The sequence below is a fragment of the Homo sapiens genome, chromosome 7 (assembly GCF_000001405.40).
Source record: "Homo sapiens chromosome 7, GRCh38.p14 Primary Assembly".
In the NCBI taxonomy this organism is placed as follows: domain Eukaryota; kingdom Metazoa; phylum Chordata; class Mammalia; order Primates; family Hominidae; genus Homo; species Homo sapiens.
In genome coordinates, this window is record NC_000007.14 from 139764722 (window position 1) to 139791600 (window position 26879).

Here is a 26879-nt window from a genome sequence, read left to right on the forward strand (position 1 = left end):
ATGTCACCTGGCGAGAGGGGTAGAATGACAGCAGGGCCCAGGCCTGAGAGCAGCACCCAGACAAACAGGTGGGTTAACTCAATTTTTCATCTTGGTGGTTTGATTTGTTTAATATAAAAGTATTATACTTTAGGCTTGGTGTGGTGGCTCACGCCTGTAATCCCAGCACTTTGGGAGGCTGAGGCAGGTGGATCACCTGAAGTCAGGAATTTGAGACCAGCCTGGCCAACATGGTGAAAGGCTGTCTCTACTAAAAATACAAAAATTAGCCGGGCATGGTGGCGGGTGCTTGTAATCCCAGCTAATCAGGAAGTTGAGGCAGGAGAATCTCTTGAACCCAGGAGGCAGAGGTTGCAGTGAGCTGAGATCATGCCACTACACTCCAGTCTAGATGACAGAGCGAGACTCTGTCTCAAAAAAAAAAAAAATTAAACTTTGGCAAGGAAATTAACCTGGTGATGTATCTAGAACCCAACAGATGTTCAAATCCCTTGACCTAGTATATCTACTTTGGAGGACCTATCCTAACATCTAGACAAACCTCAATGTTACATAGAATTACACTGAGGAATAACTCATGATAGTAAATAACCTTAACATTTGGGGAATGTTTATGCTGACAAGACTAATAATATTTTCCTCTGTGAGTTCATCTACAGCTTCTAATCTTAGAAATTTCAACTCCTCCAGAGGTTTAATAAATATCCACTTCCATTTCCTTCAAGCTTTTGTAAAAAGCTTTGTAAAAAAGTGGAACGTTTGTCTTTATCTGCTAAAACGCAAGCTGCTTCAGGGCAGGAATTTTATCTGTTTTGCTCAATGCTGTACACTTGGCACCTAGGAGAGTCCCCAGAACACTGAATGTATTTTGAACATATTTTTGTCAAACCTCACATTTTAATCAGGCAGAATTTACATTGGTGTAATGATGTGAGGTGATGATACCCACTGAGATTTTTCAGATTGCTCTCATATAGTCCCATTCCCATTCAGGTAATCAGCCTTCCTTTCCCCATGGCCTCACAGCACCTCCTCCATCTTCTGTTAAATGCTCACAGACTATGGAACCTGAAATCTGCCTCCCCCCTTCTGCCCCATGGATGGGTCTGTCAAATTTTGTCCCAGATTTGAAGCATTATGGTTTGACACTGGATAGAGCTAACCCCTTCACCACTCTTATGGTCCATGCCTAACCTATGTCCTACCACCTTATCTTTCAAGAAAAGCAACAGAAATTGGTCTCTCAAGTTTTAAAATACTTATCCAGATTTTGATGAAAACAAAGACCATTGATACTTGGAGAAGAACCAATGTATTTACAAGTTGCCCTCTCTCATCTAGGAGGGATGAGGAAGAGTCTCTACTGTGCAGCTGGTGGTCAGGAGTCAGCTCTGGACTCAGACTGCCTGGAGTCGATCCCATCTCTGCACTCAGGAGCTGCCTCACCTGCCTGTGCCTCTGTGTAACACTGTGGAAGTGGAACCTCTTTTGAGTGTTACTACAGGGATTCAATGAATTCACACATGTAAAATCTTAGTGCAGAACTGGCAATAGCAAGTGTGCGGTATTAGCTGTTATGATCATCTTCCCATAACATGTTTTTCCTTAGAGGTCTCAGTAAGAGTATTCCTGAATATTTGATATGTTTTGCTCTCAAAGGGGACTCATGGCTTGGCTGCCCTCTACCACATTCCTACATGCCAGCCACAGGTCCAAGTGCTGTACATTCACCACCTCACTTGACCCTGTTTGATGAACAGGACAAATGGAACAAGAGTGTCACAGAAATCTGTGTTAGCACCTTCGGTCTCCAGCTTGATTGCCTCTTTTCCAAGGAGGATCCCAGATCCTTCTTACCGGAGTCAGTCTTGCACATGGCATGGATCACTCTAACTTACCTGCAAGAAGCAGGGTGGCCTGCCAGTGAAGATAAGGGCATGCGCTGGCGACAAGTGGACTGAGGTTCAAACTCTGGCTCTACCAATTACTTGTTATGAGTCCTTGCATACATTATTTCATATCTCTAAGCCTCAATTTCCTCTTCTGTAAATGGAGAAAATCATAGAGCTCTTAAATATTAGTTAATAATAGTGTATTACTATTGTGAGGATGATATTTGGCCCATTTTATTCTGGGGCCCCAAGACCAAACTGGATGAACTACACAGACCAGCTGGCTCTGAATGAACAAGAGAAAGTGGCTCCTGCACTTTGTGACCTTCCCTGAGAAGATGTGAAGGCAGGTGAGAGGAGAGGAAGTCGGAGGCTGGATCTGCATGTGCCTATGGCTTCTGGAAGTCACAGCCACAAAAGGCAGTAGAATTGCGAAGAATGCTAAGGCCAGGTCCCTGACTCTCTCACATCCAAGAAAAGCTTTCACCAAAACAACCACCATCTGATTCTAAATATTTCTGACTTTTTGTTCTGAATGTACTCTTCCAAAACAATGGTCCTCAACTGGAAATGCAAATGCTCAAGCCTACCACAGACCTACTGAATTAGAGACTCTGGGGGTGAAACCCAGCAATCTGTTGTAACAAGCCCTCCAGAGAACTGAAGGGCAAAAAGGTTGAAGAACCACTTCTTCCAGACAGTCCCTTACACAAATACACCCCAAAGAAGGTTCTGTGTGTACATCCACTTAGACCTTCACACCTACAAGTAAAACAAGGCAAATACACGCTCAAGGAACACACAGTCAAAGAATAAACAGGTAGGTAAGGGAGCCTGGCTCTGTGGGTAGACAAGTGGGAAAAAATAAATAGGTGGAAGCAGAGAGCAGAGACGCCATCAAAGAAGGATGGTAGGAGAGGCCATGGAAGTCAGTGGCTGAAACCCACAAAACATAACAGCTGTCAGAATTACCAGGTTCTCTGTCAGGTTTCACCAGCAGAAGGAACATACTGGTTACTGAACTACTTTGGCAAGCAACAGGAAATGGGTCAGTTTCATCAGCTTTGCTTTAGGAAGCAATCATATGTATGAGACCAAGGTTGAGGAGGAAAAGGAGAGCAGAGGATGCAGAAATGCAACCACCAGCCATATAAACAGGAAACATTTCAAGTTGCCTTTGTTGCTTCAGTTTTTGAAGCAAGGTGTCCCCTTATCAGTACTGCCTTTAGGACAGGGCAACAAGGGCTCAAGCCCTGAACCTCATTGGGTCAAGGCCCAAGCTCACCCCTCCCAACATGGGCTGTGCCCATTCATAGGCTGAGCACCCACCCTCTTCTTCAAGACCAGGCTCTGGGTCCCTGGGGCCATGAGATTCCCTGCCCAAAAGGCTTCATGCCTGCTTCCAGGCCCTTTCCCAGGGCCTGTGGGTGTACATGTAGACCTGGAAGGTGGGCAAGAGGCACCCCAGTTCCAAGCGGAGGTGGGAGTGGTCGCAGCTTGGACACACAGACCAGGAGTAGAGAGAGAGAATTGGGTGGATGGCAGACTGGGGGCCTCGCTTCACACTCTTGACCCAAGACCCACAAATGTCAGGGCAAGCTCACTCCCTAGTTTGTGTCTTATAACCGTGAAAGTCTGAGTGTTCAACTAATTTCAAATGCTGCTCATCTGGACTGAAATGCTTCCCAGGCAGGTGGGGAGTAGCCCCAGACAGAGACTACAACAGGACCCTATCTGAGGTCAGACTGTCATGCCTGGAGACAAGAGGCAGGGCTCAAGTTTTGGTGATGTCAAAGAGATAAAATGACTTTAAACTGTACCTTGGGAAATCAGTTTTTTTTTTAAAGCTGCTTAATGACTTAAAAGTGCTTTGAGGTTCTGTGAAACTCATCATGATCGTACTGACTTCTCTCCTGTGATTTTTGTTGTTGTTGTTATTAAGTAGCTCATGGTGACAAGCTGTGAACTTTCTCAGGGAAACACAAGGAACCACTGAGGGCACTGTGGCCTTGCTTTCCTTGGGACAGAGGGAAACACTCCCTGCAGGAGGGGCTCAGTGTAGCACTGTGGGCTGCAAGGGGACCACGAGAACCAGAACTCAGGAGCTTCCGTATGCCTCTGGGGAAAAAGGAAGTGGCTCTGACAGCCTGGTAGGAACCACTATACCTGGAGCCCCACCTGGCAGTGCAGCCTAGCAAAGCTCCACTCGGCATTCTGGAGTGTTCTGGGGCTTCTGTGCACACTGCTACAGGGGAAGGGAGAGGAAGAGCCCTAGCTCTGCTCCCCCAGCACACATAACATTGGAACAGCCTCTTCATTGCTCTGGCCTCAGATTCTCATGTGTCAAAGACTGAATAATAACGCATGAAGACCCCACCAGGGTTATACTATGACCCAGTCAGATTCTGTGAAATGCGAGTGAGCCTACAAAAAGAGATTCTTTAGAAAAACAGAACATCATGGTATTGCCAATCCCAGCAAGTTTTCCTGATCCTAGATCACTGCCATAAGGTGTGGGGAGGAAAGCAAAAAGAAACCAACATTTATTGAACCTCTGGACCAGGCAAGCCGACAAGTGCTCGATGCGTGTTCTCCTGCACCACCCCAACAGCAGCCCTGCCCCAACTCCACGGCCGCAGTGCCTTCCACCGCACCACAAGGCCTCCCAGCATGGCCCACCTCCATCTCCACGGCCGCAGTGCCTTCCACCGCACCACAAGGCCTACCAGCATGGCCCACCCCTGGCTGTCTGGTTCCTTCTATTATACCCAGGCCAGTAAAAATTACCTTGTTCAAGTATCATTCTGATAATATCGGTCCCCTTCTCCACACCACAAAATGTCACTTGAATTAGAACCCCTTTTAAACCTTTTAACAACTGATCCCAAACACTTACCATTCTCATCTGCTAGTCTATTTTGTGCTTACCACTCCAGCCAAGCAAAAATTACTTTGCAAATGAATTCCATTATGCACTCTGCTTATTCACCTTGTTAAGCCAACACCAGAGCTTTGCCTATTGCTGTTGTCTCTTTCTATAGGAATACCTCATTTATCCGACATCCTTGGAAAGAAGCTATCCACAAAATTGATCTACATAAATTAATTTCCCTCTCTACCAGAAACTTAACCATTTAAGCAGCCTTAAATCCTCTTTGGAGTACATCACTGTAACAAGCAAATGAAAGAATTTCTTTAACCACTGACTAGTGGAAGCATTTCTGTAATACATTAGAGAACCTCCCAGGCTCAGTTAACAGAACATAATGAAACTGATGAATCTTTTCCTGATGGTACAGGTCACACTTAATGAATAATAGTAATGACACTGTGCTGGAGCTGCAGAGGTGAGTGGTTCAGGGGAAAAGGCCGAAAGCACGTGTGCATTCTCTCTTGGTGCTCCTTCTCCCTGTCACGAGTTCCCCTGACACTTACTATCCTCCAGAAGTCCCTGCTATCCGCTCAGATTCTGGTGAGTAGATGCCGTGACACAGAATTCAGGAAGGTGTAACTTGCTGTCTTTCTGTACAGTTTCAAAAACGTACATGCTGGTTTTTGTCAGAGCCCTATAAATCTTTCATTAGATACAAAATAAACAAATTTTAAAAGAACACATTTCCACAATCGGCAATAAGCTGGAGTTTTCCAAATCTCCCTGCCCTGTGACTTTTTAAAATTTTTTAATTTAATACTCACAACCTCGGCATTATAACCCTGTGACTTTTAACAGAAATCCAGGCACAAACACCATTAAAATTTGCTTCCTTAATGCTATGAAACTATAAGTTCTATATTGTATAGAGCTGGCTTCTTATCATAAGCCCTTGGACGAATGATTTTACTTGGGAATAACGATTCCATAGGTTGAATCAACAGGGAAATATTAGTGTGAAGGAAAATGGTAAAAATACACAAACAAACCCTTTGTTCTTCAAGATGCAAATCTGTGACTGTGTGAAGCCAGAAGTGCTTTCGTAGTCAATGTCATGGAAGGTTCTATGGTGATCTCTCACTGCGGATGGACAGAACCACCTGGAGGAAAAATACCCTTGTCCACTCACATATTAGGCTGCATTCTTTTTGTGACAAAGGTTTTTATAGAGTCGACAGCATTAACACATGCAGAAGAATTGATCAATCTTAATTCTGCTTAAACACAGTGGCATTTAATTGATCAGAACCTACTAAGGCAAAAGTACTTAGGCAAGAATTGTTAAAACAGACTACTGTCAAAAACATTACAAATTTGTTCAATGCTGTATTCAGAAATAAGTAGCTATAAAACCACAAAGATATTTTGGAGTTTCAAAGGTTTTCTGCCTTTTCTTTTTTGGCAATGATTTTACTAGCTTGCTTTCTAAGGGCAAAGATATCTGTCAGAAAAAACACAACCTGCAGTGATGTCGTTCATTACATCTTTTGCCTTTTCCATTGGCTTTAAACCAAAGAGAGGGAGGACTACCCTCTGAAAGTCTGACTTGTAACCACTCTCATAAACACCTAGCTCACTCACCTTGGAGAACCTAGTAAAACAGGTATGGCTTTAGCTGACTCAGAATCTATAACGAATTTGACAAACGGTCCCTTCTAAATGAGGATGACCTGACACTGCTCTGAATCATCAAGATTCTTCTGTGTGCTTGCTCTTCTTTCAAGTGTAGTTCAAGTTTTTATACTTATGGCCTCTGCATTCTGTTTGTCAGATCTACGGGAGATAATTAAGCAAGATTCTAAAGAGTTGGAAGTTGAGGGGTGAAATGCAAAGTGATCAGTGGAGTCAAGCAGAAGGTGGCTTTGTTGGGGTGAGGGATGCCAGATACAAGTACAAGAAAAATAAAGACGGCCGAAATGAATGCGAGCTACAGATGAGTCACCAATCCAGGGCTGCGTAAGTTATAACTTAGATGCATTAAAAGGAACAGTCAATTCCAGAAATATTTATGAAGCGCCTACTAGGTTTAAGGAACTGCACGGCTATTGTAGGGGACAAAGATGAATCAGACATGGTTCCTGCCCTCCAGGGGTTCACGATGATGCAAGAACCCTGAAGTCGTTTTTCTCTTATATGCGGTACTAATGAGAACATTATTAAAGAGCTGTATTCAGTTTTAACTGCCACCATTTTTTTAAATAGGGAGAAACTAGAGAGAGTTCAGAAGAGAGAAAGGAGATGCTTTCAGTGACACAAAACCGGCTCTGTGAGGAAAAAGCTAAAGAGACCCAGTTATTATCTTTAAGTATATGAAAGGTTTTAGAGAAAGGAATTGAGTAAAAGAAAACAAGTTTGAATGACAGCAGGCGAGATTTCAGCCAGGCCCAGGAATTTCTTGACAATCAGGTTAATAGAATACTGGAATTGGTCACTCAGGGAGTTCCAACTGCCCTTTCCTGGAAAAAATAATTAAATAAATAATGAACTGACAATTTCAAGTCACAGACATTCACCTTCCTGAAGACGGGGGTGAACTATATCTGTGTCAAGGTCTTCTGCTCTGGGGCTCTATGCCCCTGAAGCTAGGTCAGGCTTTTCTTTTTCCACAATTCCCTGAATGATCTGCTCTGGGTAAGTAGCCACTGAATGCTTCGGAGTGACAGCCCGATCTATATCCCCACCACCAAGTGCCACACAACTACCTGGAATACAAGGTCTCAGCCAGGCGAAAAGGCTGGGAATCAATTCTCCAACAGCCACATATGATGCAAGAGTCCACTCGCAACAAAGCCTACGACACACCAAATATCAGAAACGAAAGTCTCTGAGAACTTGTGCAAATAAGAAACGTATTTGCATTGGCAAGGATATAAAATTTAAGTAACAAATAGAAGAAGACAGGATCTTCTGCAAGTTACAGACAGTAATATTTATGGACATTTCTAAGAAAGCTTGTAATGAGTATTTTCTACACTCAGAAACACTTTTTTGAGTCTACGTAAAGAAAACACTTCAAGAGAGATAGGAAAATGGGGTCTTCCCACTCTTTATTTATTTATTGAGAAAGACTCTCGCTCCATTGCCCAGGCTGGAGTGCAATGGCACAATCTCAGCTGACTGCAACCTCCGCCTCCTGGGTTCAAGCAATTCTCCTGCCTCAGCCTCCCAAGTAGCTGGGATTACAGGCACCACCACCACGCCCAGCTATTTTTTTTTTTTTTTGTATTTTTAGTAGAGATGGGGTTTCGCCATGTTAGCCAGGTTGGTCTCGAACTCCTGATCCACCCGCCTCAGCCTTCCAAAGTGCTGGGATTACAGGTGTGAGCCACTGTGCCTACCCAAGTCTTCCCATTCTAGCTGAAGAAAGCATAGGCATGTTAGAAGTATGAACTGCCACTAAAAAAAAAAAGGAGAAGAAAAAATTCCATCTTGAATCAGACCCATGGTCTAGTGAGTCTATGCTTCTTTCACTTCCCCCACCCTGTAAAGTCAGGGACAGGGATTAAGATTTTGTCATTTCGACAAACCCAGAACCTGCCACAGGGCCTGACACACAGCAGGTCCTGCATAAATGTTTGCTGAATGAATGCGTTAAAGATGGGCCCTCGTCTGTCAAGAGGTGGAACATTTGAGTTCATGTGGGTGAAGGGCGCAGGGCGGTGCACAGCACAAAGTCAATATGGCCTAAGTCACAGTGATCACCGTGACCCTCAAGCATCTGGGTTTCTTTTATAGGAAAAATAAAGATCTGCCTATACTGTAGGTTTTTCTTTTCTTTTTTCCCCCAAAAGAGAATAGCTATATGAAATGGAACTCTTGCGAGTTTGGGCCTTTCAAGTTCACATCCCATCGGTGGTTATATAAAGTCTACTGCCATTATTCTGAAGCCCGTCTTTGACACCAACCCAAAGTCCTTGAATTGTCATCAATAAGACTACCAGAAAGCACAGGCGAATTACACGTTCAGAGAACAATAAGAAATGCTCACATATCACACCCTCTTGATCATCACTACTTTGCTCCACACAAACCTCAAAGGTGGTTCCCCAAGACTGGTCTCTATGGGAGGAAGGGAGAGAGAGAGAGATGAAGAAATATAAAACATAAAATACAAAGAATCTGAGCCCCTGTAACTTACAGAAAGCACCAAATTGTCTTTTGTAGGAAAATGATGTTTAATGCATGGTGAGGCAGACCCTGGCTTGTGGTGGGCGAGGAGCCTCCCCTTGGAGGAGGCTCTTGGTGAACCACCTCTGGGTGCTCCCTTGCCCAGCCTGCTGCCTTGTTTAGGAATGGATCTTGGTTAACGGCAAAGGTTATCTTTCATACTTGGGGATACTTTCCAAGAGGCACAGCTGCAGCCCCTGAAACTCTGCCCCAGCAGTTTATTTCCACATTTTTCAAGTAGCACAGAAAGTGCCACTATAGAAGAGAAATTCTCTACCTGAAACCAGCAGAAGCTCAATGCAAATAAAGAATCTGGAAAGGTCACAGAGGGAGTAAAAAGAAGGTTCTTTCTTCTATGGCTATAGGGGGTTTATTGTTGCTGGTGCCCAAACTGGAAAGGGAATCGCAGGAGATTAATAATTGAAATGTTGCTATTATTGGTTTTCGAAACTATTTGTGGGTTATTCTTTCCCTGGAGTCATCATGTCTGTAAGCATCTCAGAAGATAGAGGGATTTAACACACTCTGAGAAGATGCCTACTACAGCCAGGGACTTTACGTGCACTAGTTTCTAATGGAGTTCCTGCACAGTCCAATAAAGCCCAAAGTCGTATCACTAGATTCAAACTCAGGTTTCTCTGATTCAAGTATCATAGCACATTGTCTGAAATCAAGGATAAAATTAAGGCACCTTACTCACTACTCAAATGTGGCGAGAAGAAAAGCAACATTTATACTTACTCATTTTTAAAATATAAAACCTAAACACAGGAACAGATATTTTAGGGCATGTGTCATCAAACTCTGCTAACCCAAGATGATTCAGAATCTCATTTCTTGGTAGACAGCTTGGTAGATAGGCATCTTCAGGTCCATCTGATGATGAATTGCAGCAGACAGTTTTTGGAAGTCTGTGAAGTGTTCCTTTACATAAGCCAATAGTAATCAACACAGCATATCTCAGGGAGAGGAAAACATAAATAACTTGGAATTTAGGCTCCTCTCATTCAGAACCCATAATAGAGACCTTGGTGGTTGGCCTTTGCACTAGATATTGAAAAAGCCTCGCAAAGCAAGTTGATGGAGGAAATACAATCACAAGGCAAATGTTTAACCTTCTAAAGAAAATAAACCTTTTTATAAGAAGTTCAGTTCCAAACCACCAAAAACTAACATGCTATTTATAAACCTATCCTTCAAGCAAGCCCTGGAAGACTGATTCTCTTTGCCACCCATTAATTGGTATTATCAAATACCCCTTGTTTCAAAAACAGCATTTCTGTCTAAATCTCTGGCGGTTCAGAACGCTCCATTAATGTATCTGGGCCTTCACCTGGTATTCCAACTTGGTGCAGCAGCACCCCATTGAAACAATTCCCTCTCGTGTCGTTATACTTTTCCTGAGAAGAATCATGCACACTCTTTAGGAGCTCAAAACCCACAAGGAATCCCTCTTCTTATAGAAATCTACAGGAAAAGCTCTGCTCGTTTAGCATGCACACAGGGAGTCCATGTGCTCTGATTGAGACAGGGGAAAAATCAGGTTTCCTGAACCCAGAGGATGTCACCACGGCAGGAGAAAGGAGGTCATCAGAGTCTTGGCACACTCATCACAGTGAGTGAATGCGGGTCCTAGCAACCTAATCCTTGATTCTAGAAGTCACCTGTCTGTTTTAGAGCATGTCCAACAATCTCTTTCAAAAACACCCAGATCTGGGCTTTTGGCAGACTGATGTGGGCCAGTTGAGGTGGGATGGGGAGGAAGATTAGAAAAATAATTATAAAGGTGCACAGATAAACATCCGGAATAAAAGGGTGCACAGCGCAGGAACAATGAAGAGGGCACACGGACAAGATGGAGGGAAACTGAGGGCTGAAAGAGGCCACCGCGGAGGTCACCTGAGACAGGGAAGGAAGGCTGGCAAATAAAAACAGTTCATGAGACTTTTGAGATCCATGATTATTCTTAAACCGTAACACCCTACACACCTGCAGTTCTTTATCTGGCGTAAGGAACTGGAAGAACAATGTAGCAGGAACGGGGAGAGCCAAGTCTCAGCCTCGGGGGCATGGCCTACCTTCCATATGGATTTAAAATGAAAGGAGCAGGAGGAGAACAGTGCAGTTCCCAAGATGGCTTTCCACAAAGTTGACAAAATACACCCCAACTCACATACCCGGTCCCTAGTAACAGGGAAACCAGCCGTTTACTATAGTTCTGAATTCAATGCCAAGTTCCTTCTCTCAACTCACCGGGAGTGTCCAGCAGAGGGAGTCTCAAGGAGGTACTTAATAAAGAGAAAATTGTTTCATTTTAACACTCTAGACAGTGGGAGCATTGACTGTAGCCCCCTCCTGTAGACGCAGATGAACAATGAACGCCCGACATGGGTTCTCCCGCATGTTCACATGTCCACCGGCATGTTCTATTCTGCGTGGTGGAGTGATCAGAAATTTCGTTTTGTTTTGTCGAATGGTTAAATGGACCTTGTGTTCTTCAGAATCAAAGAGGAAAGCCCCTGGAATAACATCTCTCTGTTGCCTTCTAAACAGCCCCTTTGTTTCTAAGAGAGTCTGAAAAAAAAATATTTACAGTCTATAGGTTATTTACAGCCTCGTTATCCAGGGCCTGACTGGTAACTTTATTCCGGCCAGAAACCTAATTCATTTGGAGCCCTGAAACTAATAACAGATTTTCTTTTAAGTTTTTTTTTTTTTAATCAGCCTCTTATAACAGAGATAAAACTATTAATGCCTTCCCTGTCTCACTGGCCACAACTGTTCTCCGGATTTACAGGAGGATTACATTCCCCCCTCGTGCCCTCCTCTGTGCCACACAAACCCTGTCCCCTCTCATTTGCGATTTCATCCACAGAATATCTGAACAAAACCGAAAGAAAGCCGGGGGACCCACGCTAAAAGTATGTGAAGGCTGCGATTTCAATGATTTCATGAGACAAACATTTACACGATGAAACGACTGAAAAATCAGACACACTTGGGTTTAAAATTTCTCCTACTACAAGCACACAAAAACACATCGAAGTGTAAAAACTTAGTTGATTCTGGGTTGCTTTCTGGCTGGAAGCTGACAGAACGGACTGAAGAGAAACGAAAGACAGTGTGCGAGGCAGACCTACTGCTTTTCTGCCTTGCGTTCTTTTCTTTCTTGCTAAAGGCAGTCAAATGGGGAAAAATACCCCGATGCCAGGTGAAGGTGCACAACACAGATCGACCCAGACCGAGCCAGAAAAACGTCTCCGCCGCTCCCCCGGCTGGAAAACCCAAAGTCCACGTCCCCTTCCACACGCTAATGAGGGGAGATTTTCGCCTATTTCATTGTTCTGCCTGGCTCTGACATGGACTTTTCATCTCTCTCCTCTCTCCCCACCTAGCCCCGTGCATTCCGATTCCACAGCCCCCCCAAAATCGGAGGCTCGCGGAGAATAAAGGAGCGTGGGGTGGGCGCGGAAAGAAATGGGAAGGGGCGCGGGGCGGAGAGCGAAGTGGAAAGGAGGTGCTCCGAAAGGTAATGTGGGGGGGCGGTGGAAGCTAAGCCGCATCACCTTCATTTATCGCAAATAAATAAAAAGCACAGTCACCGGTCCGCCTTCCCCGGCGTCCCTGCCCTCCCCGGGCAGCCGCCCACCCTCGCACACGCCCCCTCCCCTCCTGCGCCCCCGGCCCCTCTCCCCGCCCTGGAAGCAAGACCCTGCCGGCGCCGGGTCCCGGTCATCTTCCGGGCGAGGGAGGGGGTCGCGGCCCCCTCGGGCCCCGGGTGGGGGCTGGGGCAGGCGCCGGGGGCTGCGGGCGCGGGGCCGCGGGCAGAACAAAGCTGCGGGGGCCGCGGAGGGCGGCGGGCGCGGGGTCGGCGGGGCCGGGCGCCCCTTACCTTCGTACACGGGGGCCATCGGGGCCGGGGTGTCCGCGGTTCATGGCAACGGGGACGGGAAAGCGGCGCGCGAGCTCGGCCCCCCCAGCCTCAGTCGGAATCTGCCATCTTGAGCCTGTGTCTCCGCTCTCGGCGCAGCCGAGGCCGCCCGCGCCCGCATCACCGCCTCCCGTGGCCGGCGCCGGGGGAGGGGGCCGGGCGCGCCGCCGCCGCCGCCGCCGCCGCTGCCGCCCGGGCCCGGCGCGGGGGGCTCGGGGCTCGGGGCTCGGGGCGGCCGGGCGGGCGGAGCGGCCGAGGCCGAGGCGCCGAGCGGCCGCGGCCCCCGAGCGGATCCGCGGAGGGGCGGGAGCCGGGGGCAGCGCGCGGCCAGGGCCGGCGGGGCTCAGCTCAGCATGGCTGGGCGCGGGGGCTCCGCAAAAGTTGCTGGCGGAGGGGGGCGGCGGGCGGGGGCGGGGGCGGGGCGCGGGGCCGGGAGAGCCACAGGGAGTCCGCGCGCAATCGAGCGCCGATGGCACGGATGCGAGGCGGGGAAGGCCGAACCGAAGGGCAGAGCCGCGCCGGCGGCCCGAGGGGACCGCGCTGGGAGGGGCTGCCGCGCAGCGCGGGGGGACTGGGCGCAGGGCGGGCCCCGGGTAGTGGGTGAGAGGGCCGGCCTGGACCCGGCGGGCGCACGGCTCCGAGCCCAGCGCAGCCGAGCCGGTCTGCAGAGGGGCCCCCAGAACTTTGTGTGTGTGTGTGCACGCGCGCGCGTGTGTGCCCAGGTGCGAGGGTTCGCGCGTGTGCTGGCGGGGAGGGAACCGACCCGAAAGAGAGCCCCACGCTGGCAAAGTGGCTCGCCCATCTCACAGCCGGTTGGCGCTCGCGGAGGTAGGAGTGGAATGAATGAATGAAGGAGTGGGCGCGCGCCGTGCTCCGGAGGAGGGCGGGTGAGTGGAGGAGCTTCGGAAAGCCACACGAGGTCAGAGGCACCGAAGCCCTGCCGTGCACGCCGCGGAAATGCAGCCCCCGGGGTGGTCGCTGGGTTCCTGCCGGAGTCTGGCTTCCACGCCACCCTGATCTTCTCCTCCTCGCGTCTACACTGTCCCGAGGGCCGCCACTCCATCACTTGAATGGGAGCTCACAACTCTCTGGGTCCTCGCTTTTCTCAGCGCTCTCTCCTATCAGGGCTTCCGCTAAACACTCTCCAGACTCTCCCCAGCCGGGAGCCTCTCCAGGTTTGCTTCTCCAGCTGCCTCCCGGATGCTTGGATAGGATGCCCTGCCATCCCCTCCAACTTAGGAAGACTTGTTGAGTCTCCTCTTAGGCACTGTTTTTAAAACTGTGGGTCGTGACACAGTAATAGATCATAAAATAAATGCAGCGGAAGGCAACCAGCTTTCAAAAAGAACGAAATGGAATCCAATAGAAAATATTAGAGTCCATTGCCCTTAGTAAGGGCAACTATTGTTTCATAAACCTTTTGTTTCGATTATAGGTACTGGACAAGTGTACTGGACCATGATGTCAATTTTATTTCCGTCTGTGAATCGTGGGTTTAAAAAAGTTGAAAAGCTATCTGTGTAAAATAATGATCTCTAACACTGTATAACTTTCTTAAAAACAACCTCGTGATTTTCTCACTACTTCTTATCCTTTCCGGTCTCCATCCTCCGTTCCCATCCTTCAGTCCTTCCCAAAAAAGGCAAGCTCTTTCACACTTTTTTAGTGGTACATCACGACACCTTCCTCTGTGTGATCTTGTACTCTGCGGTCTTCCTTGCCCCCATAATCAATGCTACACTTCCTATCCCTTCTCTTAACCTAATGCCATTCACGTTTGCAGAATCCTAGACTACTGTTGCTAAAAGGACCTCAGAGGTCATCTGGGCCAGCCCTGCCCTTTTAGAGTTGAAGAAATGGAGTCCAGAGAAGTAAAATCTGTTGCCCAATGTCACACAGTATTGAAGCTTAGGAATAGGTCTCGTGGCTCCCACTCTAGTGTTTTTTGCTCCACACCGGTCATTTATCTCCTTCCCTTCTATCCTCCCTGCAATCTTTAACTTTAGTCTTGGCCCAGGTCATCCTAAATATTGCCATCTTCATAATACGTGGTTCTGGCCATGCCACGCTCCTGGCTAACATCCTCTAAGGACTCAACCTCTGCAGGTGGGGCTGAGTGCCTTGGCTTTTCATCAAGGCAGGCGAGTCCTGACTTAGCTTTCTAAGGACATGAGTTCAGCAAGTCACTGCTTCTCTAGCCAAACTGGTTTACTTGTAGCCCAGTGCCAGCTTCACCCATCTCTGTCACTGTGCCTTTGCCCAAGCGGTCACTTTCCCACCCACTTTCCCAGAGGGGTACCTTCTCCATCTTCTCTCTTTAAGCAGATTCTACCTGTGCCTGGCTCACCTCCTCCACAAAACAGCCCGAGATAGCGTGGGAGTAAGTCAGACCTAGGTTCAAATCCTAGCTCTTCCACTTAACTATGTGATCTTGGTCAAAATGCTTAACCTCTCTGAGCCTCAGTGTCTGTATTTTGATTATGAGAAGGAGAACAATAGTAATGTTCTCCTTTTGCATCTGTAAATCTCTATCATAGCCTTCACCACACAGGTATGTAACTCCCTGTTAATACATACCCTACATGCATGTCTCTCTGCCCCTTTCTAGTGCTGGCCATTAGAACTTGCTGCCATAATGGCAGTGTAGCTACTTATGTCTGTGGAGCACATGAAATGTGGCTAGTATGACTGAGGAACTGAATTTTTAATTTTAATAACCATGGGTGGTTAGTGGCTACCATTTTGGACAAGGTGTCTCTAGACTGTAAGCTCAGTAAGGACAGAAACCATGTTTTTCTTGTTTTGGATTGTATGTCCAATAACTGCATTGCCTAACGCATGGTGAGTACTGCACACATATTTGTTGAATGGATGATAGCTGCAATTTGTTGCATGCTCCCTTGTGTCCAGCACAACACTACAAACTCGATAAAAGGCATTTCATATAGTCCTCATCACAGCCTCTGAGGCTGGGTTAGATTAGAGAGAGAGTTTTATATAGAGGGCAGACACATAGTAGGGGTTCAATAAAAGTTATTATTATTCTAACTCCTCCCTCTGACCAGCCCCACTGACTTTTGTCTCATCTTTCCTTAGGCTCACAGAACATTTCCTGCCTGTTGCTCACACTCTGTTGTCCACAGCATACCCGCACCCTAGATGGCTGACTCTTGTCTTCTGTGTAGGTACCCTGTGTTCATAACTGGATTGGCAGCGTCTTGGAGCAAGGCCCTGCTTTATAGGACTGCCCCTGAATTCAGCACTGACCAGTGTTCAGTAACTGCCTCTAAGTCCATCCCAGCTGCTGTCTAGCAGTGAGTGATTCTAGGCAGTCTTAAAATGAATATCACTTGTGTCAACCGAAAACATTTTACAGGTAGTCTCCTCCCCATAAGAAGGGAACAATCTTGGGCAAGGAAATAGAGTCCCATGGAAGGGGAACAAGATGGAGCCATACAGACAGAGGTCCACCTTCTCTTCAGACCACCATGACTGAAGCTGTATCCATGAGATGCAAAACATGCATTCAATTGAGCTAGCGAAGTTCGTATGATATAACGGAAAAATATTCTTGAAATGAGCTTAGATTTTCCTTCATGAATTGGCAGACTGAGTATACTAATTGTCTCCTTTCCTTCCGGTGACTGCAGTCAAGTGGCAGCAAGGTATAAACCTAACAGTGAAATGTCACTGAAGGAGAGCATGGGAGCTGGGAGGAGAGAGGATCTGTGACAGAACCTGGGGAGTACCAGTATTTGAGACATGGGAAGAGGAAAAAGAGCTCCCCATGGACAAGAGGGCAGAGAAGTTGGAGGACAGCCAGGACGGGGGATTCCTCAACATCCCAGCAAGGTCAACAGTGCTGCATGCTATTGAGAGGCCCACGTCAGATGAAAGCAGAAAAGCAGCTGGGTGCTGTGGCTCACGCCTGTAATCCCAGCACTTTGGGAGGCTGAGGCAGGCAGATCACCTGAGGTCAAGAGTTTGAGACCAGCCTGGCCAACATGATGAAACTCCATCTCTACTAAAAACACAAAAAAAATTAGCCAGACGTGGCGGTGGGCACCTGTAATCCCAGCTACTTGGGAGGCTGAGATAGGATAATCGCTTGAACCCAGGAGGCAGAGGTTGCAGTGAGCCGAGTTCTAGTGCCATTGCACTCTAGCCTAGGCAACAAGAGCTAAATTCCATCTCAAAAAAAAAAAAAAAAAAAAAAAGGCAGAAAGGCATCAATTGGATTTAGCAACAAGAGTTGCATTAGTGACTTTGGTGAAACTAGTTTGGAGGGAAATACAGGTTTCTTAAATTCTACCTGAATATGTGTCCTGTTTTATGGGTGGAGATAGTAGAAGGATGGGGAGGGCTAAGGAGGTACCAGAAAAGAGCACCAGAGATTGCTCCAAGCAGAGAGGGCCTTACCAGTCATGGGCCTGAGACAATGAGAGGGGTCTGGGAGCTGTCCCATTTGGCTAGAGATAGTGTGCATTGTATTTTATTTATTTAATAAGCACATTAGCAGTCAGTGTTCTAAGGAGTTTAATCAATCATTTAAAAAAATCACTTTTTTTTTTTTTTAACAGTACATGGAACTCTAGGTTGCCAAAATACCATTTAACTTCAGGGTGCATTGAAGAACAATAATAAAGGCAAGAAAACTGGAAAGGATTTAGTAACCATTTATACCAGTTACCTCTCCTTAATTTGCCTTTCTACAAAATGGTGCAAGTCATATCTTTCTCAGGAGTTGGTAGAGTGAACATGGGGGAGCTTTGACCTCATTTCAAGTTCATTTTGCTTACAGGACATGGAACAAAGGGTCTTTTTTTTTTCATGTATGCCTATAGTTGTGAAACTGCACAACATCACAATATCTTCAAGGCCACAGGATAGAGATAACCCTCTTTTTGGTGTATGCATTTAGGTGTGTATGTCTCTCTTACTCTCAGGGTATTCTTAGCATGATGTCTGTGTGGCTTGTATCTTATTCTCACTTGGTGTGTGTTGCTCTTATTTTCCTGACAGCTCTTTATTTTCCATGTGTGAGCCTGTGCCTGTGGTTTATCTCTGGAGGATGTGCCTGAGGGAGGTAGGTCACTATCTCAAGTTCTGTCTTTTGATATCACACCTCTCTTTTGGTCTCTTGCTGTATCTCTATTTTCCTCTCTTTCTGACTGTGTGTCTAATTTTCTTTTTCTCTGTATCTTTCTATCTTTTCCACACATTCTTTATTTCTTCTTCCTCTCCCTTTATTTTAATTCTGTTTCTTAACAAGTCATAATAGAGACCTATTTTTGTTTGGATTATTCTTAAGAAATTACCTTGTCTTTCTGCTTTAAACCTTTGATCGGTTTCAATGATACAGTTTGTAACAGAGTAGTATTTAATAACAAAACTCTTTAACTGAAAGCTTCAGTAACAAGACATTACACTCACAGAGAATTTAAAAGAGTAGACATTTCATTCAAATGAGGAACAATAGAGCTGTGGCTTTAAGGGCAAAGGGGAGAGCGAGGCTTGGCAGGGTGAAGGGAATCTGATTGTGGAAATGGCAGTCTTGGAGAAATTACACTGGCAAAATCAGGGGAATAGGGAAACATCATTCATTTTTCTGCTTTTGCTCCTAGAAGAAAAATGATCAGACACCTGAACAGGGGTGCAGGAAAAGCAAAGCGATGCCATAAGAGCATTGAGCAGAAAGGAAATATGGCAAAAAAAAAAAAAATGCAATCAGCCTATGAATGAAAAGAAGCTGTAATGTAGATGCACAGAAGGTAGGGCGATTTTGTTGGAGGTTGCGGGAATGGCAGATTAGGATGGATTTGCACATGAGAAGCAGTTCAGAGAAGCAACCCAACCCTGCAGAGAAATTTCTGTGATTATGGGAGGTAGGTAATAGCTTGGTTTTCCTGACCTGCAGTCCAGGCTGAACTTGGACAGACTAGGTAGAAATGGTGCAGAAAGAAGCTTGGGGTGGAGGCAGAAATAAAGGTAGACTGAGGAGAGCTCTTTTAAAAGCCTGCAGGTCCTGTTAAGCCTACCTCAGCCATGAATCAGTGGACCTGTGCATTTCTGTACAGTGTGAAGTTTCAATTGTAAGGTTTCCTCCCACTGACATGAAAGAGCTTGCTCCTATCTGGCAACCCCTGGAGGGGCTTGACTGTCACGGCAGAGGGCAGTTAGGACTGACTCTTTGCTCTGAGGTTGCCAGTGGCTTCTTAGATTGCAAATCGCATGCCCTTTCTTAGCCCCTCCCCTGCTTGATCTCTAAGCAAACATGAGTTAGTTAGACACTGTTAATCACCTCACTCTTCTTGAATCACTCCCCTCCCTTCACATCCTTCACATGCATGCTTGTTTAGTTTTTTTTGTTTTTTTTTTTTTTGTATTTTTTCCCAAAATTCCTAGTCCTTCCTCCTTTCACATGCTTGTTTAGGTTTTTGTTTTTGTTTTTGTTTTCAATACTCCTAGCCTGCCTTCCTGCCTTCCTGCCTGCCTGCCTGCCTGCCTTCCCCCTTCCCTCCCTCCCTCCCTTCTTTCTCTTTCTTTCTTTCCTTCTTTCGTTTGTTCTTTCTTTCATTCTTTCTCTCTCTCTCTCTCTTCCTTCCTTCCTTCCTTCCTTTCTTTCTTCCTTTCTTTTTTTCCTGAGAAAATCAATTCATCAAATGTTCAGCTACAGCTTACTATGTGCTAGATTCTGTAGCAGGACCTGGGAGTATAAAAGGGAATAAGCCATAGCCCTGGCTTTCAAGGAGCTCAAGTTCAAAGAAAAACCACCAAGCAAGGAGCATGATACAATATAATGAGTGCAGCAGTAAAAAGGATGCACATGGTCAAAAGATAGTACAGAGGGACAAATGGCAAGGAGTGTGTTTGGGGCAGGGGAGGTGGCACGTCTGTGCCTGGCACTGCGAGTTCTGGCAGGTGACAGCAAATAGGATAGAAAGATATGAATGTCTAGGATATGTAAGAAATTATAATATTGCTAAACATGCAAAGCAAGGCCGAGACAGTGGTCAGGAATGACGCTGGAGATTGTATGCCAAGCTGAAGAACTTATACTTTATTCTGAATGCACCAGATGTGGGGAAAAATGAATTCAATTTTGAACATGTTGAGTCTAAAGTACCTATGAGATATTCAGATAGGGATGCTCAGTTGCCAGGTGGGTGTACAGGACTGGAGCTCAGCCAAGGGTTTTTAATAGGAGATAGAGATTGTTTTGAGTCATCAGTAAGTGTATAATGCGTGGCTGATCCATAGGAGGTGAGATCACACAGGGAGAGGTTACATGGCAGCATTTCTCAAAGTGTGGTCCTTGGGCTGCCTGCATCGAAGGGGCTTTCTAAGGATGCAGACTCCTCAGGCAGAACCCCAAACCCACTGACTCAGGAATCTCTGGGGGTGGCACCTGGAAATCTGCATTTTGAATTTACTCCCTAGGGGATACATTTACACAAAGCAGTTCCATAACTACAGGTGTGGAGAGAGAGGCTAAGAGGCTAAAGGAGGGAACTAAGAAGAGAGAGACCTGATCATTTAGGGGCCGTGTCCTTCTCCCTTCACCCTGTTTCTTGATGGACTGGACCTAAGCTCTCTTCTGTTCCCTTTCTGCTTGTTCTCTTGGCAAGCTGATCTCTAGATCTCTGAGGCTGGTATTTGAATTGACATAGTCTCATTAGCTCTTGTCCCACATTTCCACCTGCTTTCCAGACACTGCTACCAAATGGAACTCATCTCCTCCCAAACCTCCTTCTGGTAAACAATAACCACCTCCTAGTCCTTCAGCTCCAGCCATTGCAGGTCAACTGCCAGGACCCATTGTTTCGTTGTTGTTGTTGTTGTTGTTTTTTGTGTGATAGCTTTTCACATTCTTCCATTCCTCTTCCTTTCTACTGCCAGTACCTGATTGAGCCTATCCCTACCTCCTCCTTGGACTGCTGCGCTATTTTTTTAACAGATGTCCCTGACTCCAGTCTCTCCCTCGTCTTTAATTCACATAACTGATTGTTGACAACATTGGCTTCCTGCGCACTGCATACCATTGCTCAGAGATGTTCGGAGTCACCATATTACTGCACAACAACCTTCATCACCTTAACCTGACACCTAAATCCCATCATGATCTGCCCAAAATCCCCTTCCCAATCTCATCTCCCACTCTTGCATCTCGTGCATCCTAAGCAATAGCTGCACAGCTTTGTCTTTGTACATGCCAGCCTCTGCCCAGAGTGTCCTGAACTCCACGTCTTCCCCATCCTTTAAGACCCAGTTCACATGCTATTTCCTTCATGAAGCCTTTCCTATTCCCCAGCCCACATCCCCAGAGGTCATTTATCCTTTATTCTCCCCAAAGCATATTTTAGGTCTGTTTCTGCTGCATTCATTTTTTCCTATCTAGTATTAGAGGGTTTTTTTTTTGTTTGTTTGTTTTTTGTTTTTTTAATGTCTCGCCTTTCCCTCTATGGGAGCAATGAAAGAGGGACTGACCATCAGGAACATTAGGTCCATCACTTTTAACTGGATGATGATAAGGGAAATGATTTCATTTCTCTGCACCTCAGTTTTCTCATCTATAGAGTGAGATAATAATGTCTGCCTCATCAGTAGAAATTATTCATGTGAAGGAAGGGGAAGATAAACTATACAAGGCAACAAAACACCGTAGTGTCAGGTATGAAGGAGACACTTAATAAATCTGTACTGAATCCATGAGAAAGGGTATACTTCTAGACAGCTTTGAACCGTTCTGGGAATATAATAATTAAGTGATAGAATGCAAGGAAGAATTTAGTTTTGGGATTACCTGTTTTTATTTTAGTGAAAAGTTTCACAGATAGACCTTTTACTTCCAACAACTTCAAGGCTTAATTTTATTTTTTAAGCCTAGGGTTCTTTTTTCTTTCTTTCTTTTTATTTTATTTTTTCATATAATCCTGAAGCTTTTCACTCTATGTGGAAGACACACGTGGTTGCCTGCTGCCTATCTCTGGTGCCTTCTTCCTCAGTTGTAGAACTCTGATTTTATTTAGGCAGTACTGTACCTGCCCAAGAAAGTAAATTATGATTGGTTTAAGTCAGTTGCAGCAAATCAGTCATGTTTCCAGTGGTGGTCATGTGGCCCAATGAGATAAAAGGTAAAACTTGGAGACTTCTGAGAAAGTGTCTCCTTTCTCATAAAGGTGTGTTCCATGGGAAGAGGTGGTCCATTTCCTTTCCCTCTTTTCAGCCATATCCTAGTAGGATGGGATGCTTTAGGTGGGATCAATTAGAGTGATGTCTTGCAAGTAAGGAAGTAAACTGGCTTTGGAACCACTGACCTCCAGCCTTATTGAGAGGAGAGCTGTCTTTATGAAGACACCTTTAGCAAGGATCCCATTACCTACAGCTAACAGCATCTTAGTCATTTTTAGGAAGAATTTAGTTTTGTGATTTCCTTATGTGTTTTATCACAGTCTGTGTATAGATCTTTTAAAAATAATTCAACAGCTTCAAAGTGTAAGTTAAGAAAAAAACAAATAATCTTTTGTCATAGAATTCTGAGGATTTTCGTTTGTATGTATGAGATGAATTTGAATTTTTAAAGAATTTCTTTTGGAATATGGCAATATCTTCAGCTTGCATTCCACTTGCCCTAGGTGGTACACTTCATCAACTTTCAGAAGCTGCTGATTGGTTTTGCTTATCTTTTCTTTAGGAGACATATACTGCCTGGACTGCCTGGCTGATGTGAGCTAGTTTGTCTGGTTGAGTTGGATGTTTAAATAGAAGGCAGAACAACAACAGGTAAGATTTTTAAAAATATCCTTTAATTTCTTTGGGCTCTATTGACATTATTACATTCATTACAAACTTCTGGATGTTAAGTCCTGTGTTTAATAGCCAGAGAGGGGAAGGTGGTGGGCAGCTGGGAGAGTGGTGACTAACAAGATGGCACCACCGGGTTCCTGAGTTTGAGGGTTGGGTAAAGCCAGGGCAACGACTGGGATGGCCAAGGAGAGCAAGCAGTAGAAACTCAGGTCCAAAGGGCATTAGGCGTGAAACCTAACCTGACCACCCTATTTCATATTGCAACTTGCCCCTCTACCCATGCTGTCCTCTACTGCACCCCATTTTCCCTTACCTGGTGTTCTTAACCTTTTTTCTTTTTCCTGTGGATTTCTTCTGCAGTCTGGTGAAGCCTGGGATTGCCCTCTCAGAATAATGTTTTTAAATGTATTGAATAAAAACACATAAGACTACAAAAGAAGCTAATTATATTGAGATACAGTTACTAAATGTGTATTTCTTTATTGATACAATTTTGAGAAACAGTTACTAAATGTGTGTTTCTTTATTGATACATTAAATAACAAGATTTAACCACAGGTCCAATAGCTACAAAATAGTGATGAATGTAAACAACAGTTCAAGAAATCTGCAACAATTGTCAATCTGATACAAAATGTCTGTGATTTCAATTGGTAACAAAGTTATAGGTATTGCTGTGGCTTCTGAGGTTGTTAGCCTACAGTCAGGTTTGAAGGTTTAAGATTAATGAAAATAAACGTGCCATTTTTCCCCCTATCCAAGTTCACAGATCCCCTGAATTCTATCCATGAAGATGCTATGAGTCTGGAACTCCAGGATAAGAATCCCTGCTCTTATCTTATTCTGCTATATCTGCATAGTATTTATTCTCTTCTAACATCATTTATTATTTACTTATTTTTAAAGTTCATTTTTATGGTCTGATTCTTTCTATTAGAATGTAAGTTTCACAAAGTCATTGTCTGTTTTGTTCACTGATACATTTCAAGTGTCTAGAACAGTGCCTTGTACTTACTTGTGGCTCAATAAATACTTGTTACATGAGTAAGTCCAGAATGCACCAGCATCTGAGTCTAGACAGAGGAGCCAGGCCCATGGTCCTTCTGAATGTGGGGCACCATGCAGCTGCACCCATCAAACTGCCCACCAGCCAATTCTCTTGTACTTTGGAGGGAGCCAGACTGCTATGTGGAGGTGGACTTGGAGACACTGAGTTCTGCCCATGGCACCATTGGGATTGGATGTGTGGAGGAGAAGAGGAAAGGCTTAGGGCTGGGAATGAAAAATGCACATGGCACATGGAATGGCCGTGCCCTAGGGTTGGCCTGCCCCAGACTGGGGCCAGGTGTTAGACAACAGTTAATACAAAATATGTTTAGACAAATAGATCGGGCCTGGACTGGGGAGGGCCTTTAGTGCCCAGCAGAAGTATTTACATCTATTTCCAAAAGCAATAGAGAAGCACTGAATATTTTTGAGCAGGAGTCCAAGTTGGTAGAATGAAAGAAGGGCTGGAAATAAGGGCTATAAGATTTTGAGTTTAAGTGCCCACCTTATAAATCATTAGCAAAAGCAGAATATAACCCTTTCTCCAATTCTGTATGGGTGACACCCACCAGTCTGGTAAATGGAGGTCGTTAGTGTGATGGGGTGTCATTCTCACTTTGTTTAGCACCCCCACTAGATATACATATTCACTTTTTGCCTTTTTTATAATAATTTGAGAAGTTATAGAAAATGCTTATACATTTAATATGTTTAATCTCTCTCTCTCTCTCTCTCTCTCTCTCTTTCTTTCTCCCTTTCTCCACAGGGTCTTGCTCTGTTGCCCAGGCTGGAGTGCACTTGCAGTAGCATAATCACAATTCACTGCAGCCTCAACCTCCCAGGCTCAATCATTCTTCCTGCCTCAGCCCCCAAAGTAGCTGGGACTACAGGCATGCACCACCATGGCTGGCTAAGTTTTAAAACTTTTTTGTAGAGACATGGTCTCTCTGTGTTGCCCAGGCTGGTCTAGGACTCCTGGGCTCAAGCAATCCTCCCACCTCAGCCTCCCAAAGTGCTGAGATTACAGGTGCAAACTATCTCACCCAGCCTTTAATCTTTTTATTAGTGAGATATCTGACCCAACGGCTAGGATCTGATGGTCTTTTTAGTATGGCCTCAAATCACTGTATCCTGTAAGCATTTTTTTTTTTTTTTGAGCTGGAGTCTCTGTTGCCCAGGCTGGAGTGCAATGGCACAATCTCAGCTCACTGCAACTTCTGCCTCCTGGATTCAAGTGATTCTCCTGCCTCAGCCTCCCGAGTAGCTGGGATCACAGGTGCCTGCCACCACACCCGGCTAATTTTTGCATTTTTACTAGGGATGCGGTTTTGCCATGTTGGCCAGGCTGGTCTTAAACTCCTGACCTCAAGTGATCTCCCCTCCTCGGCCTCCCAAAGTGCTGGGATTACAGGCGTGAGCCACCGCACCCGGCCTAAACATATTTTCTTCTAGAGTGTTTTTAGGTCTGCACACGGAGTCCTAGGTCAATGCCAACACCAACTCACACTGAGCCCTAACTATGGAATCGGAGCAACATCATTATTTAGGCCCATGGACAAAATACCAAAGTAATCTGTTTCTATGTTCCATTATTTCCTCCTCTCCATACATTATACATACAACAATTTCCCTTTATCACACGTACCTGTGACTACGTGGGAATCATTCTATCCCAAATTGCTGCAGCACAATCTGAGGCTTACTAAATATTTGCCTCAGCCATAAAGCTGATAGAGCATTAGTTTAAAATGCAAGTAGGGACCATGAGGATCTTTTGGGTTTCATGTTGAAACATTCAAGCTGCTCTTCCTACTACGGCTATTACTACTAAATGCATTATATGATTTTTGAAAACTAGAACAATCCAAGTCTGGCTAATTTTTTAAAATTCCCATTTCTTTCACTTTCCCAACTGTTGTCTATTCACCCTTTATTCTACCTTTAAAGCAAGAAAAACTGAAATAATTATTTGGAAAGTTTTTTCACTTCTGTCAAAACAACAAAACCTATATCGTTTGAGTGATTAGTCAAGGACAGTTGACAAAAGGACAGTAGTCAAAAAGAAAAATGGCTCCCTAAACTCTTAGAGAAAAGAAATCAAGCTTGCATTGTGATCAAACTAAATGAATGTACATAGTAATAAGCAAAAATTCAAATGGCAGACCATGTTTTTCTTGCACCTATGAATTCATTCTGATGGATAAGATAGATGGCTTAGGACTCCATATTACATTTGTATGAATTAATAGATATTAGGGGAATGTGTAATAAGTGACTGCATGATTGACTGATACAGGTTTTGGATTTTTACTTTTATTTTTCTGAGACAGGGTCTCACTGTGTCACCCAGGCTGGAGTGCAGTGGTGCAATCTTGGTTCACTGCAACCTCTGCCTCCCAGGCTTAAGCAATCCTGCCACCTCAGCCTCCTGAGTAGCTGGGACTACAGGCACCCACCACCACACCCAGCTAATTTTTGTATGTTTTTGTAGAGATGGAGTTTCACCATGTTGTCCATGCTGGTCTCGAACTCTTGAGCCCAAGCCATCCTCCTGCCTTGGCCTCCCAAAGTGCTGGGATTACAGGCATGAACCACTGTGCCTGGGCTTAGGTTTTGGATCTTATATCTGATTATCCACAAAAAAGAACCCAGAAACACTAATATAGTGGAAGCCATTGCCTCAGTTAGGTAACACTAGTTGTGGTGACAGATAAATGCTAACGGTAGCCTAACACAATGAAAGTTTATTTCTCGTTCTGACAACAGTCAGCATAGGGGTTTAGTGAGTGGCCTTCCACATAGTAATTCAGGGACTTAGGCGTCCCCTACCTGTGAGTGGGAGCCTCGGAGGCCTTCACTTCCAGCTGGCAGATAGAAGGAGAGAATGGAGGATACCCCCACGGGAGATTTTTACGGGCCAGGCCTAGGTGTGGAGTGCTGGTTCCCTTTGCACTCTATGGGCCACAACTCAGTGACATGGCTACCTCTAACCAAAGGCAGGCTGGGAAATGATCACATATGATGCAGCTACTAAAAATAATGTCTGAGTTATACCCATTGGCCAAGGGGAAGTGTCCGTGATATATTCGTGAGAGGATTAAGT

General features: G+C 45.2%; 2 protein-coding genes across 13 annotated transcripts in view, besides 3 other annotated features; one reads left to right on the plus strand and one right to left on the minus strand.

Moving 5' to 3' along the window:
* Positions 1-13277, minus strand: part of HIPK2 (homeodomain interacting protein kinase 2) — a 216429-nt gene extending 203152 nt beyond the window's left edge. For 7 of the 8 annotated variants that reach the window (XM_047420265.1, NM_001113239.3, XM_047420260.1 and 4 more), the window contains exon 1: positions 12884-13277. In XM_047420265.1, coding sequence (XP_047276221.1) covers positions 12884-12902 — 19 coding nt within the window. In that variant the 5' untranslated portion in view covers positions 12903-13277. Of the gene's footprint in view, positions 11427-12883 lie in introns of those variants that run through there. The other variant, XM_047420263.1, reaches the window with a different exon arrangement.
* Positions 9051-9230: an enhancer, noted in NCBI's record as "active region_26769". NCBI's record gives its function as "activates an Ori minimal core promoter by ATAC-STARR-seq in GM12878 lymphoblastoid cells {active_cell/tissue: GM12878}" and the evidence as "EXISTENCE:reporter gene assay evidence [ECO:0000049][PMID:35858748]".
* Positions 12873-12962: a silencer, noted in NCBI's record as "silent region_18699". NCBI's record gives its function as "represses an Ori minimal core promoter by ATAC-STARR-seq in GM12878 lymphoblastoid cells {active_cell/tissue: GM12878}" and the evidence as "EXISTENCE:reporter gene assay evidence [ECO:0000049][PMID:35858748]".
* Positions 13393-13622: a silencer, noted in NCBI's record as "silent region_18700". NCBI's record gives its function as "represses an Ori minimal core promoter by ATAC-STARR-seq in GM12878 lymphoblastoid cells {active_cell/tissue: GM12878}" and the evidence as "EXISTENCE:reporter gene assay evidence [ECO:0000049][PMID:35858748]".
* Positions 13521-26879, plus strand: part of TBXAS1 (thromboxane A synthase 1) — a 242052-nt gene continuing 228693 nt past the window's right edge. For 2 of the 5 annotated variants that reach the window (NR_159363.1, NM_001130966.5), the window contains exons 1-4: positions 13521-13750; positions 16019-16103; positions 17945-18008; positions 22617-22705. The gene's annotated coding sequence lies outside the window, so the exon portion shown is untranslated. The remainder of the gene's footprint in view (positions 13751-16018; positions 16104-17944; positions 18009-22616; positions 22706-26879) is intronic. The other 3 variants (NR_159365.1, NM_001166254.4, NR_159364.1) reach the window with 3 other exon arrangements.